We start from the raw sequence: 15,162 nt of genomic DNA on the forward strand, positions 1-15,162 counted from the left end.
ATGTTCTTTGCAGGGACCTGGATGGAGCTAGAAGCCATTATCCCCAGGAAACTAACACAGGAACAAAAAACCAAACACTGTATATTCTCACTTATAAGTGGGAGCTGAACAATGAGAACACATGGATACAGGGAGGGGAACAACACATAATGGGGCCTGTGGTAGGGGGAGTGGGGAAAGGGAGAGCACCAGGATAGATAGCTAATGTATGTGGGGCTTAATACTTAGGTGATGGGTTGATAGGTGCAGCAAACAACCATAGCACACGTTTACCTATGTAACAAACCTGCACGTCCTGCATGTGTATCCTGGAAATTAAATTTAAAGAAACAGAATGTCCATTGACTGCTGAGTGATCTTCAGTAGCGACCTAACCTCTCTGACTACCAGCTTCCTTGCCTGTAGACATGATAATGGGGTGATACTTTGCCTCCAAGGAGTGAAGTGAGACAAGGAATTTGAAAACCCTTTGGCAACATCGGGCTGTGGTTTGGATGTTCTTTTCTCTGGAAGCTCCCATGGTCCTGCACCTTTCCCTCTCTGCAGATGGCAGGGCTTGTCTTTCTCAATGGCCACTGCAAGAAGTGGCCAAGATTTGTGGGTTTATCCCAGTCAGTCCTGCAGCTGGGGTGTGAGGCACAGACCCCAAGTCAAAATGAAAGGAGCTCTTAGACCAGGCCTAACCAGGCTCTACTCTCTGAGTAAGGTTAATAGTACATGTGGTTAGTGGGAGACTAACAAGGTGCAGGTAATGAAGAGTTAACAGAAGTGGAGTGGAAAGAAGTCTTCCAAGTGGGACACACACACTTCCTGAAGACAAGTCAGCTGAAGGAAGGATGACCTGCAGCCTTGCTGGGACCCATGCCCTGCTCAGAATGAGCCTCTTGGCATCTCCTGCTCAAACAAATCCTCATCCCCAAATTAAACCTGTCCTGCCATTGCAGGACATTGCTTGAGAGTTTTAAACACTGCAGGGGCCAGCGCCAGCCTCTCGTTCATTTTGTATGAAAGCCCCTGACGTGGGAACTACTGAAGACCTTCACCTTCCATCCCAACAGCCCGCGATATTACCATGCTGTCAGGCGGGGTGTGTGTGTGTGTGCGCGTGCGCGTGTATGTGTGTCTATCTGTCTTCATATCAAATCTTGGGATTGGAAATTAAACACAAATGAGTCAATGGTTGGTGTTTTGGTAGGCTGCTGAGCGACGGGCAATCCTGCTTTCTCCTTCTCTTGAATTTGGAAGCAAATAAGGACTAAGGCTCAGAAGACACACAGCTGGGGAGTAAAATGCTGGCTTTATTGCTGACCAAGCTGCCTGGCTTTTAGGTCCAAATAAGCCTGCAGACAGTTGCCCTAAACTGGAGCAATGAGTACGCCCAGCTCCGGGCACAAGACTGATGGGTAACCGCAGCCCTCTCCCTTGGGCACCACTGCCCTGCATGTGTCCCGTGTCTATGGTGGTTGTCCAGTGCCAGTAGAGCTTCACTCAGCTGCTCTAGGAGTCCCCTACTGGCTAAGCCATGGTGTGAGGGCAGGGGTGAGCTGAGAGTGCTGCTCCTGCTCCAGCCCTGGCCCAAACTGGGGAGCAGAGGGACCCCCTCCCTGCCCCTCGTGGCTAGGAAGGCCAGCTGTTCGATGAAACCCATTCTCTCCTGTCTCCCCAGGGACAGAGGACCTAGGCTCATGGCCACCCAACTGGACTGCATTTCCCAAGGTCCTTTGCAGTGAGGGGATCATGTGACTGAATTCCAGCCACAGGGTGCAGCAGGAGGGCCAAGTGAGCTCATCCTGGGGTCTGGGCTACAGCCAGGCCCCTGCCAGACTCCCCTCCTCACGGGAGGCCACCCATGACTGTGAGGGTGGCAGAGGGACCAGTTGGGAGATCCCCCGCCCCCCCCCCCAGCCAGTCCCCAAAATCAGAGATAGAGCAGCCCACAGAGCAGCCGAACTCCTGGTTCTCTAAGAGATGGTGGCTGTCTTTGTGCATGGGATTAGCTTTAGCATGACTAAGGGTTTCTTCACACCTTTTTTTTTTTTTTTTTTTTTTTTTGAGATGGAGTCTCGCTCTGTTGCCCAGGCTGGAGTGCAGTGGCATGATCTCGGTTCACTGCAAGCTCCACCTCCCGGGTTCACGCCATTCTCCTGCCTCAGCCTCCCAAGTAGCTGGGACTACAGGCGCCCACCACCACGCCCTGCTAATTTTTTGTATTTTCAGCAGAGATGGGGTTTCACCGTGTTAGCTAGGATGGTCTCGATATCCTGACCTCGTGATCCGCCCGTCTCGGACTCCCAAAGTGCTGGGATTACAGGCGTGAGCCACCACGCCTGGCCTCTTCACACTTTTATTACTATTTCCTATCTTAAAAAAAAAGTTGGCCGGGCGCGGTGGCTCACGCCTGTAATCCCAGCACTTTGGGAGGCCGAGGCGGGTGGATCATGAGGTCAGGAGATCGAGACCATCCTGGCTAACAATGTGAAACCCCGTCTCTACTAAAAATACAAAAAATTAGCCGGGCGCGGTGGCGGGCGCCTGTAGTCCCAGCTACTCGGGAGGCTGAGGCAGGAGAATGGCGTGAACCCGGGAAGCGGAGCTTGCAGTGAGCCGAGATTGCGCCACTGCAGTCCGCAGTCCAGCCTAGGCGACAGAGCGAGACTCCGTCTCAAAAAAAAAAAAAAAAAAAAAAAAAAAGTTGTCTATGCACATTGTAAAAAGTTTAATCAGTGTAGGAACTGATGAAGGCAGAAAAAAGCAAAATTTGCTATTTACCCTGCTGTTCAAAAGCCACTGTTGGCTAGTGACTATTCCTCCTATTCACTCTTCCATGCAGAAACACACAGTTTAAAAAATGGAATCATCCTTTATATACTGTTAACTAACCTAGCATTTTTTGGACTCTCTTTGGAAATAGCTTTATTGTTTCCTGATTCTCAAAGTATTACATGCTTATCATAAAAATCACATAAAATATCAAAAAGTCTAATGAAGAAGACAACACTCAACCATAAATCTGTGACCTCTAAGGACTGGGATTTGGCTGGGATCTGTCCTGCTAGATTTTTTTTTTAAGGCATACATTACTATTTAGGTAACATGGGTAGATAGATGTTGGAGCCAGGATTTCTTAACAAAAATTTAAAATGAGTATGGTGGCACAACATATCGTTTTATAAGGAGATTTGAAAACCCTTTATGGTGTATTATAGACTTCACTCACATGATTTTAATTTGTAGTGCATGCGTAGTATTGTCTTGCCTGGGGGATTCATAAAAATATGTTTAACAAATTCTGTATGTAGATTATTTTTATCTCATTACTGTGAGAAATGCTTTCGTAAGCATTCTTGTGCATAGATTTTTGTACACTATGGTATACTATGTGCTTATTAGGATAAATCCCTAGAGAAGGTACTAGTAAGTCAAAGACGGGGCCATTTTCTGTGATGCTGGTGCCTGTTGCTCTATGAAAGCTTGTGCCAACATACAAGTCTCCAAATTGTGAATGCCAGCACCTGTACCTCACACTCACACAAATATTGGAGATTACAATTATTTAAAATATTGGCCAACCCAATGGACACATATCTTGCTTTGTTTTACCCTATAATTATTTTACTTTTGGTGAAACTGAACGTATTTTTATATATTCAAATTTGTGGCCCGGTTCTTCTTTTTCTATTGAGGCTTCTTTTGTTATAAATGATTTGTAAAAGCTTCTCAAATATTAAAAAAACCAGCTCTTTGTCTACCAGTTTATTTGCCTTTTAGGTTTGTCAGTGGTCTCTATTTTTCTTATATAGTTTTTATTACTGGTGTGTTACTTTATAGATTTGCTAGTAGAGAAAAGAACAGAAAAGCTTTTCTCATCCAGTGGTTATAAAAATATGATTGCTTCACAGATTATAAAAGTAAATATTATCTTACTGATTAAGCTTTTAAAAATGTTTTAAATCTTCTATTCATCTGGGATTGATTTTGGTGTAAGTGTAAATGATAAATCTGTCTTAATATTTTCCCAAATGGCTAATTACACTAATTACTATATTGATGGAAAATAATCCTTTTTGTCCTTTGATTTGAAATATCACCCTATTTTCTCCTTCTTTCTCTCTTTCATCCTCTTTTTCTTTTCTATCCTGATGTTAATACCATATTCTTTTAATTATTTTAGCTTTGTAATAGGCTTTAAAATCCAGAGTGAATGTTATTTTGTGATTCATGAATTGATGGAAATAATAATTTCATGTCCGCTTGGGCCCTGCCTTTCTCCCTAAAGTGTGTGGTTTGTAGAAATGAAAATCTATTTTTAAATTTAATGTTGTGCATGCTCCCCTCTGCTTCTCTATCTTCCTCTGCACAGCAGTGGAGGCCTCTATCCCCTGCCTTGTCTGGGGGACTCACACCTAAGTGTGGTTTTTTGTTTGTTTGTTTGTTTGTTTGTTTGTTTGTTTTTAGACAGAGTCTCACTCTGTCACCCAGGCTGGTGTGCAGTGGCATGATCTCGGCTCACTGTAACCTCTGCCTTCTGGGTTCAAGGTTTTCTCCTGCCTCAGCCTCCCAAGTAGCTGAGGTTACAGGCACCAACCACCATGCCCAGCTAATTTTTGTATTTGTTTTTAGTACAGACAGGGTTTCACCATGTTGGCCAGGCTGTTCTTGAACTCCTGGCCTCAAGCAATCCACCCACCTTGACCTCCCAAAGTGCTGGGATTAGAGGCGTGAGACACCGCGCCCGGCCCTGAGCCTGGATTCTCTTTTCCACCTCCTCAGAAAGCCCTCCCTGGCCCCCCAAGCCACGTGAGACCTCTTTGCTTCTCCCAGAGCACCCAGTGCTGTTCCTTCCCATCACTTATGCAATTAATGATTAAATATGTATATGCATGATGGATTCTTAAGGTACTTCCCCTGTCCTCCAATTAGACTTGAGGCCCCATGAGGCAGAAACCATATTGACCAGTTTACCTGACATCTACACAGGTGATCATCAAGGCATGTTACGGAATGAATAAGTGCATGTTGAGGTCCGACATCCTCTGAGCAGTGCTAAGGGCTGCCATTGGCTGTGACCCTCTCGACACCATTCCTCAACGCTCCGTCTTCCTCTAAACCGAGCTGCCCAAGCCAGCCTTTTGCTTACGTTCTTCCCTCTGCAGGGAATCCTTTCCAGCCCCTCCTCCCTGTGGACACTTGCTCATCTTCTCAAGTCAAGACCAACTGTAGCCTCCTTAGCGGAGTCTCCAGGGGGCTGCCGGTGGAGCTGAGCTGATCCCCACTACTACAGTTGGAATATTTGTGTCCCCCTAAAGTTCATGTTGAGATTCTCACCCCAAGGTGATGGTGTTAGGAGGGGGCTTTTGGGAGGTGATGACGGTAGGAGGGTGGAGCCCTCAGGAATGGGATTCATACCCTTATAATAGAGACTCAAGGGAGCTAGCTCACCCTGTCCACCATGTGAGGACACAGAGAAGGTGCTGTCTGTGAACCAGGAAACCCTCACCAGACACCAGATCTGCTAGACCTTGATCTTGAACTTCCAGCTTCCAGAACTGTGAGAAATGGATTTCTGTGGTTTATAAGCTGCCCATTTTATGGAATTTTGTTATAGCAGCCCAAGTGGACTAAGACAGCCACCATGTTCTCACAAAGCTTGACTTGCCCCAATCAACTGCGAAGGCCTCTGGGCAGACCCACTCCGCTCTTGGGACTCCTCTGGGGTGAACATGAAAAGGCATAAAATAAACTTCTCTCCAACAAAATAAAGTGGAAAATCTATCCAATCAATTCAGATACCAAGGGGCCTTTCTAATTCAGAGTCAGCCATCATTGCATCCTCTATTTGTGTCTTTTCCTTCTGGTTGAGCCTCCAAAATATATTGCACCTTAAAAAAATTGAATTTGCTCTTATTTGGGATCAATATACGATCTAGTTCTGTTGTTGCAAATAGATACCCCAAATCAAATAACTTGATTGGATTTACTTTTCTACTCTCGATTTGTCTTCAATTTGCTGTCATCAGGTTGGATGTGTTTATGGTTGGGTGTGCTTTTCCGAATAGAGATTGAAAGCCAGTCATTATGGTCTTCCACTTGTGGAATTCCCCATCCACTGGGCATCATCCTTTTTTCCTGTTTTCTCTCCAAACAATTTCAGTGCCCAGACTTGATGTCTTCATTTCACAGTTGGAAAAACTCTGCTTAACGCTCAAAGGTGAGTTAGTGCTGCCACAAAATGGGACGTGAAGTGAAGGGCAGGCATCTCCTCTCCAGGCATCACATGTCTTCCTGGTGGCCAGGTGCCTATGGGCTGGAACATAACGGTCTCTGATTGGACAGCAGCAGGCTGGGAAGGGTTGAGAGAAGGGAGATGGGGAGCATGGAGCATGCTCCACCATTCTGCCCAGCCCTGCATTGGTCACCTCCCTCTGCATGCCCCCAACCTGGAAGCCTCATGAAGGGCAGACTAGGGGATGTGAAGACTACTTCTGCTTGCAGGGGGACCTGGGGAAGGTGTGGGTTTTGTGCTGGGGAGGAGAAGAGGAAGGGCATGCAGTTATCCTCCTGGTGGGCATGGGGACTGTGGGCAGAGTGCCCCACCATTTTGGTCTTGGGTCTGTAGCTTATTAGTGCATGGCCCTGGACAAGGAATCAAGCACCCCACTGTCATCATCTGGAGACTGAGATGATCAGGTTACTGGGAGGATGAAAAAGATAACTCAGGATAGGTGCCTTGTATACGGTCAGTGCCCACTAAGTGTTCCTTAGGCAAAGACACTCTACTATCCTGCCTGACCTCCATTCTTTCCTTCTTCCTTAGTAAGAGATGTCTGATCTTAGTCATGGAGGAAATGAGACTGAGTTAAAAATATTACATTTTTAAGCATTTCTTGTAGATAGGGTGACCAGTTATATATTTTTAAAAGTGCACTGGTAGAAAGCTTGTTTTACTCTTTCTCCTTCTCAGTCTTACTGCCTAGGATGCACTCACGATGGCTGGAGCTCCAGCAGCCATTTCGTGTCTTTCACGATGAAGCCAGCCCTAAGGATGCTAGAACAGGAAGACAGAAGGTTAGGTCTCCAGTGACCCTGAGATGTCCCAGTACCAGCCCCAAACCACTGGACAACTGACCCATTTTCTGCTTAATATGATTAAGCTGATGCAGTCAGGTCTCTGCTAGCAGCAATTAAGCACTTTTGATAATCTCTGGCTATGCAGCAATTCTCTTATTCATTCATCCCATAGACATCTATTAAGTGCTTATTCCATGTGAGGCATTATATTAGGCTTTCCTGGTGAAAGATATAAACGCGATTCTGCTTCTCACAGAGCTTTGAGCCAGTGAGGAAGATAAGCTGTATGCGATTCTTATAAACAAGATGAAAATTGCAGGTGCAATGTGTAAGCAGCTAACGGGAGGTATGAAAAGGGGGACCTGACCATCCCTTGACGGGTTCAGGGAAACACTGACCATCCCAGAGATTGCCATGGGATCTGGTTTTCTCCTTTAGAGCAACATGACTTGTTTTATGGTGTTAGAAGCTGCTCTGGTACCCAGAAGGCACAGAGCACTGGACAGGTGAGGGCCAGGGGCCCACATGTCACCTTTGCCTGCCCCTGGAAGTGTGGGACTTGCGACTGTCATTTTCCAAGCCTAGGTTCTTTGTCTGTCAAAAGTAACGGATTCTGTTGGAGGGTCCCTTTTGCTTTTACATTTTGATTCCAGAAGTCAAGTGCATGATGGTGAAGGGATTTGAAACTGATTTTAGTGGAGACTGACATGGAACCGAGGGCATCAAGTGTGGAGAAGGGAAGGCCTGATGTAGCAGGACCTCTGGAGGATGGACAGAGCTTGTGGGTTTTGGATGGAGAAGGCAGAGCCGGGACCTGGAGGACTCTGGCTCCTGGGTGGCCCAAGACTGCCTTATCTGGTTGCCACTCCACACTGCTGTGCTCCTTCCTTTTTTTAAATTAGCCATTTTTAATGGCAGCGATGACTCCATATGGAACAATGCACTGTGTCAGGAAAAACAAACTGGCCACCACCTCTGCCCCTGCAGCTCCTACCCCCTTTCCCAGAGTTTCCTAAGGAAATGTCCAGGATTTCTCTCTCAAGACCTGTGCCAATGTGTCTGTCTTGATTTCTGAAGAATCCACCCCTTCTTTATACTGTCATTGCCAACTGCTATTAAGAGCCTTGGCTGGGCGCGGTGGCTCAGGCGTGTAATCCTAGCATTTTGGGAGGCTGAGGAGGGCGGGTCACTGGAGGCCAGGAGTTCGAGACCAGCGTGGCCAAGATGGCAAAACCCCGTCTCTACTAAAAATACAAAAATTCACTGGGTGTGATGGCGCGCGCCTGTAATCCCAGCTACTCGGGAGGCTGAGGCAGGAGAATCGCTTGAATCCGGGAGGCAGAGGTTGCAGTGAGCTGAGATTGTGCCACTGCACTCCAGCCTGAAAGACAGAGCAAGACTCCGTCTCAAAAAAAAAAAAAAAAAAAAGCCTTGGCACCTTCTTGACCTTGGGATCTCCTGCATCCACTCCAAGGATGAGCATTGCGTGCCTCAGCTCCCTGTCCGACACGTGCCCCCATCCTTGTCTCCCTACCTCCCTCCTTCACCCGGCTGCCCTGGCCCTATCGCCACCCTGTAAACTGCTCCTGGAGGCCCCCGGTGCTCCCATGTTGTCCTGGTGCCCAGGCCCCTCCTGAGCACCCCTGTTGGTGAGTTTAAGGCCCCTCAGCAAAACATATTTGACATGAAACCTGTCATCTTCTCCCTGAGCTGTTTTCCACTTGGGGGCTTGTCCTCCCACATGTAGTCCTGTGCCCAGCCCTTTGCTTCCTCCTCGTCACTCAATGCTTCCTGACACTCGGCTTCTGTCCATCTGGCCTGTTGCTGTCTTGCCTCAGGCCCAGCCAAGGCACCATCCTGTCCTGGCAACAGCCCCTCACTTACCCAGCTGGGGTCTGATGTGGGCCCCTCCTCCTGCTCTGCACCTAGAAGTCAGGTACATTTTCACAAGGAACCCCCATTGGGTTACCCTCCAGGTTTAAACACCTCGGCGGCTCTCAGAGAACAAACCCACATCTTGGACCTGTGGCAGGTGAGGCTCAGGCCTGGGACTGACCCTCCCCAAGACTCCCGGACCCCATTGGCTCTCTGAGCCCCAGCCTGGGCAACATCCGGCCACCAGTGAGTAGGTATGGAAGAAGGGATGGAGGGAGAGGAGACTTTGATAGAAGCATTGCTTAAAAATAGAAAGTAGCCCAAATATGCTCCTTTATATTCATGAGATGTTTGACAATGTAGAGTGCCTGAGCTATTTTTAATCGAAAGTTCCCACAGTTGAGGGGTGCTGGAGAGTGGAAGCCCTTGCAGGCGCCGCTCCTATGCCCTCCAGACCCTCTGCCCACACAGCAACCAAAGTGACCACTTAACAAAGTCAACCAGACCTGGCCTGGCTGCCTAAAGCCTCCCGGGCTCTCCACCCTGCACTGCGGCCCCAGCAGACGCTGCTGTGACTCCGCTCTGAGCTCACTCTGGCCTGTCCGCCCTGGCTTCCTGGCATGGGGTCTCAGGGCCACCTGTTTATGGCCACACTGGGCAAGTGGCAAATGTGCCAGGTCATGGCCCCTGCCATCTGTCTCTCCCGGAGCACGCCCTTGTGTGGCTGGCCCGCTCTTCATCCTGCAGCCTCAGCACCCCCTCGAGGGGTCTTCCCTGACCACCTGCCCAGTGTTGCCTCGTTATCCCCACTGGGGTGCCCATTTTATTACCTGCACCTGAACCTGCCCTGCTTATGCTCTGACATTCGCATCCCGTGTTCTTCGTGTGAGCTCCACAGAAGCAGGGTTTTGTCTGCAGGGGGTGCCTGGCACACGGTCGGCCTTTAATAAATGGTGTTGGGTGGTTGGACAGCTGCAGGATGCCTCTTTACACAGCCACAAGGAAGCATAGTTTTAGAGCCACTGTTGGCAGAAAGGGACAGGGGTTCCTGAACGTTAGGCAGATACAAAAATGTGTACGTGACAGATGATAGCGTCCGCCTGTAATCCCAGCTACTGGAGAGGCATTCTGTGTTCACTTATCTATCTGTACTGAGTCAACATCCCTGAACAGAAAAAAAGCACCAACATACTAGAAAATTAGGGAGATGAGCTATGTGATTACCGGTGATTTTTATTTTCTTCGCCATTGTTTGTATTCCTCTAACCTTCCACAAAGAGCATATATAGGTTTCTTAAAAACCTCTTATATTTAAATAATTATAGAGTCACAGAATTTGCAAACATAATGCAATGAGATCCTTTGTGAACTTCCTGTGTTTCCCCAGTGGGTCTGTCATGCCATGGAGTGAAGGCACGTGGTCAAAACCGGGAAACGGACCCTGGTATGATCCATGGGCCTAATCTCTGGTGGTTGTTGAAATCAGCAACCACAGTGAATGTGATTTTCAAACAATAAGAAAAAAAATCCTCATTTCCCTCACTGCCTACAGAACATGTGTGAAGGCCAAGCCTGATTGAAGGCCCTGAGCTCCTGGGGGCCTGAGCTCCTGGGGGCCCTGAGCTCCTGGAGGCCCTGAGCTCCTGAAGGCCCTGAGCTCCTGGGGGCCCTGAGCTCCTGGGGGCCTGCTGGGCTTGCAGTGGGGAAACGGTGGACAGGACAGCAGGATCCCATCCGTGCTGTGGGGAGCTGGACTTGCTTCTGTGACCCTCAGCTTCCTCATCTGTAGCGTGGGCACCATGGTGGTGCCCTCGTGGGCTGTGGGAGACTTTGCTCTGCCTTCCGAGGCTCCTGTGGGCAGAGCAGCGCTTCCACCCTGTGCTGGCCCAGGGCCCTCTTCTCTCGGGCTCCTCCCTGTACTGAGAGCTCTTCCAATGCCCAGCTGAGCTGAGGTTCTTGGAGGTGACTGTCGAATTCATGGACAACAGAATAAGAGGGTGCCCATGGATGTGGGCACTCGGGTCTTACTGTGCTGGCCTTGGGCCGTCCTTGAGCTCCACCCATCCCCATCCCCTGTCATGGGCAGTGGGAAAAGGCAGGGAAAAGTTTTGCTAAAGGCAATGATGTGTTTGAGGGTGGCAGAGGAACTGTCGGGGGTGAAAAGCACTCATTGCTTCATGAAGGGTCCATCTCCTTGTTAAGGGAACATTACTTACCTCTCTGCATTTTTGGAGGTATGACGTCATATACCTGCCTAACATCACAGCTGGGCCATATGCATAGATCATTGATCTTTAAATGCCCAAGGGCCAGACTTTCCTGGGTTGGCAGCAACAGCAGGAAGGTGGGGCCCACCGTGGAGTTGGAGCCACCCAGAGTCCCCACGCAGGACAGACTCTAGACTGCACATCACAATGACGTGTGAGTGCCAACGGTCAGCGCCAGCCATCGTTCTGGGGGCATTTCTGTCCCTCTTTTTTTTATATATATATTTTTATTATTATACTTTAAGTTTTAGGGTACATGTGCACAACGTGCAGGTTAGTTACATATGTATACATGTGCCATGTTGGTGTGCTGCACCCTTCTGTCCCTCTTTACGCTTCTGCTGCTCCTACAGAGGCAGGCACTTGGCCCCTCCCTCACCTGGGGAGCTTCTGCTCGGTTCCCCGGCTCACTGGCCCCTGGGGGAGGAGGGACTATTCTCGGCATGACCCGCAGGCATCTGAAATCGGGCTGGGCTGGGTTCTGGTCACCTTGCAGTCCGAGCTCCCAGGCCAGCCTGCATGCTTGGGCTTCCTCATTTCTTGGGGCTGGATGCATCGAGTACCTGGCTGCCCGGCTCCTTCTCTTTCCTTCCTCTCTCCACATGGGAGAGATGTGCCCCATGGCCAGCATCTCCCCGTTTGTCTTTTCTCCTCTGTGCCAAGTTCTCTACCTAAAACTAAGTGGGAAAGACAGGTTGGGTCTGATCGCTGGGCTTGGCTCCTTTTCATCAAGTAGGGGAGAGGTTAGGCTCTTTGGGAGTCAAAGCCTCGAGCCTGGGATGGAATCACAGTTTCTAAAAAAGCCTTGGGCAGTGGGTGGGCAGCTTGGCTTCTGCCCCATGCTAACAAACCTGTCCCTTTTAGCTGTTGTTTAAAGGTTCTTCTGTGTGTGGCCAGCTCCTGTGCAGTGGGCAGGGAACTCCAGAGAGGAGGAGCTGCACAGGGCCCTGCCAGTGATGTGGGGGCTGGGGGGGGTCTCATGAGGGAGCCCAGCTGCCGGTCTTGACCTTGTAGGCTGGGCAGCGTCCTGCCCCGCTGCGTGTCTGGCCTTGTCTTCCTTTGCTGGATGCAGATCCGCCCCCCGCATCCTTCTCGGTTTGCACTCAGTTCTCAGAGGCCCCTGGGCTGTCTCTGACACTGTCTCCTCCTCCGCGGGGGCAGTGCCACACCTCTGGGGTACAGTGTCACACTTCTGGGGGACAGTGCCACACCTCTGGGGGACAGTGTCACTTATACCTCTGGGGGGACAGCGTGACACCTCCAGGGGACAATGTCACACCTCCGGGGGACAGTGCTTCTTATGTCCCCACTCCTTTCCTGCACTATGTCTGCTGAGACAAGCCCCAGAATGGGCTGTGTCCTCGGAGTCCTCCGAGTGGAGATTGTTTTCTAACTCCCGGGGCTGGGGGTTCCTGCCTCCTGGCCTCGGTAAGTCCGCTCTGTTGTTTCTTTTGGCTCCTGCTCTTCCCATGGGAACTTCTCTGCCATCTGAAACCCCTTTCTTGAACTCCTGCTGAGACCCTTCCTCATCACAGCACTGTCCTCCGCCTGGAATCTCACCTGTGCTATCGGTCAGGCAAGCCACCAGCGGCATGAGGGCAGGGAAGGGCCAGTTGTACTTGCCACTGTTCCCCCAGGGTTCGCACCGTGCCCAGCATACAGTGAATTCTTATGGACTCACACCGAGCGGGGTGCTTGGGCACCTTCCTTTTAAGACTGTGACCTTCTCCAGGGAATGGGCTGTGATTCTCTCACACTGTACCTGGCATGTAAACAGTGTCTATGCTTTTATTTTGGTTGAATCAATGCATGAAAGAATGACACAGATCATCCCAGTTCCCTTTTATATCCTGCCAGGACTGCCCCGCTGGGATTTCCCATTCATTCCTTTATTCATCCATGAATGTCTAGGAAGCTTCTGATATATATCAGGCAGGGAACTGGGAGCGTGCACAGTGAGCAGGGCTGCCTGATGGCCGGGTGGCTTCAGTTATGCAGGCTGTGGCTTTTGGAGAAGTTTCACCAGCGTCCTTCTTGGCTCGCTGTGGCTAATAAAATGCACATAACAATCTCGGAAGAGCCCGACGTCTCCCCCCATGTGCTCCGTTTTAATCGAGTCAGTCTTCCAGTGCGTGCTTTAATACTGTTAGAAGCAAATCAAAATTAATGAGATTACCTCCTTTGAAATGTTATATATAATTAACCTCAAATTAAGGACAATATGCATTTGAATTTGCCAATCAGTAACACCTTGTGATTGCCGAAATACACAGTGGCAAATAAGAGATATTGACACTAACCTGCCCGTTGAAGTTGCATGTAAGTATCTCAAGGGAAATGGCTTTGAAGGTCCCCTGGTTGAGCCCCCAGCCAAGGGCAGGAAGAGAGTAGAGAAGTGTCCAGGCAAGGACGTGCCCCAGAGCCCCTTCATGGGGCACCCAGTTCTGAGTTTGGTCCAGGACTGCCAAGCACCTCCTCCATTCCCAGAACATCCCCACTTCCCAGCTGCAGAGGCCAGAAGCTCAGCTGGGCATTGACAGCCATGTGGGCTGGCACCTTCCCATGCATCCCCTGAGGCTCCTTCAACTCAGACCAAAGGCCATGTAGCCTGAGTGGCTTGTGAAACCCCTGGTGTTTATGCTTCTCATTGGAAGCGGGTAGAACAACTTTCTAAAACCACATTGACAGGTTGTAAGTTCGCATCAGCTTCCTGCCTGGCAAAGCCATGGAACTCTGGAACAGTGGTCAGCCGGCAGCATGGATGGGGATAAAGGGTGATCATGATGACAAAGCCTCCCCGGGTTTCATTAGCGAGGGAGGTTTTATAATCTCTCCAAAGTCACATTACTCAATTCTTACAGGAGCCTTCTAAGGCTTGTAAGATTATTTAGTCTTTATTTTATAATTGAGGAAACTGAGGCCCAGAGAGTTGAGGTGCTTTTCCCAGGGCTACGTCATTATGAAGGAGCAGCGCCCAGATGCTCCACTAAGGGAAATGACCCAAGGGCCTCCTGACCCCCACCCCCCTGGAGAAGACCCAAATGCGGCTTTCTCCAAACAGATTCGGCTCTGCGGGATGCACCGCCCTGGCCCACAAGCATCTCCGCCTATTGTTTTGCTCTTCCGTGCAATTGCTTGAATGCCTCGCCGGCTTGTTTCAGCTTATTTGACTGAAAACCATCCACTGCACAAAAGCTGGGAGTTCCCAGAGAAGCCTCCATCTCTGTCACCCTCACTGCCCTCACTGTGACCTGGAGAGGGCACAGGTCGTGCCTCCTCCGCATCCCTCACCCATGAGCCCACTTCTGCCCTTGTGTTTTCTCACCTGGGCAGTGTGCCAGCCCAGTAACAATGCATCCTGGCAATGACAGACTGTATGCGTGTCACGGAGCCTCAGTGCAGTGGGTTGAATAGTGTCCCCCAAATTCGGGTCCACCCAAAACCTGGAATGTGATGTTAGAGGGACACAAGGTGCTTGTAGATGTAATTGAGGTCAGGGTCTAGATGCGGTCATCCTGGAGTACAATGAGCTCTCAAACCAAAGAGAGTGTTCTTATTTTCTTATTTCCTTTTTTTTTGAGATAAGGTCTTGCTCTGTCACCCAAGCTGGAGTGCAGTGGTGCAATTATGGCTCACTGCAGCCTTGAACTCCTGGACTCAAGCGGTCCTCCCACTTCAGCCTGGCCTCAAACTCCTGGGTTCAAGTAATCCTCCCTTTTGCCTTGGCCTCCCAAAGTGCTCGGATTATAGGCATGAGCCACCATGCCCAGCCTAGAGTGTTCTTACGAAAGCCAGACGTCATAGGATGATGGAGGCAGAGATTAGAGTGAGGCTGCCATAAGCCAAGGCACACTCGGAACCTCTAGAAGCGAAAGGGCAAGGAATGGGTCCTCCCTGGAGGCTCCAGATGGTGAAGCCTCTGCAGGCACCGTGGCTTCAGCCTTCTGGCCTC

The 15,162-nt window shown here is 49.7% G+C and overlaps 1 annotated feature.

Annotated features, from left to right (window-relative positions):
• Positions 11,146-11,970: an enhancer, noted in NCBI's record as "H3K4me1 hESC enhancer chr22:47945374-47946198 (GRCh37/hg19 assembly coordinates)". NCBI's record gives its function as "activates a minimal SCP1, AML or CMV promoter by ChIP-STARR-seq in primed H9 embryonic stem cells {active_cell/tissue: H9 hESC(primed)}" and the evidence as "EXISTENCE:reporter gene assay evidence [ECO:0000049][PMID:30033119]".

Source organism: Homo sapiens, chromosome 22 (genome assembly GCF_000001405.40).
Source record: "Homo sapiens chromosome 22, GRCh38.p14 Primary Assembly".
Lineage (NCBI taxonomy): Eukaryota > Metazoa > Chordata > Mammalia > Primates > Hominidae > Homo > Homo sapiens.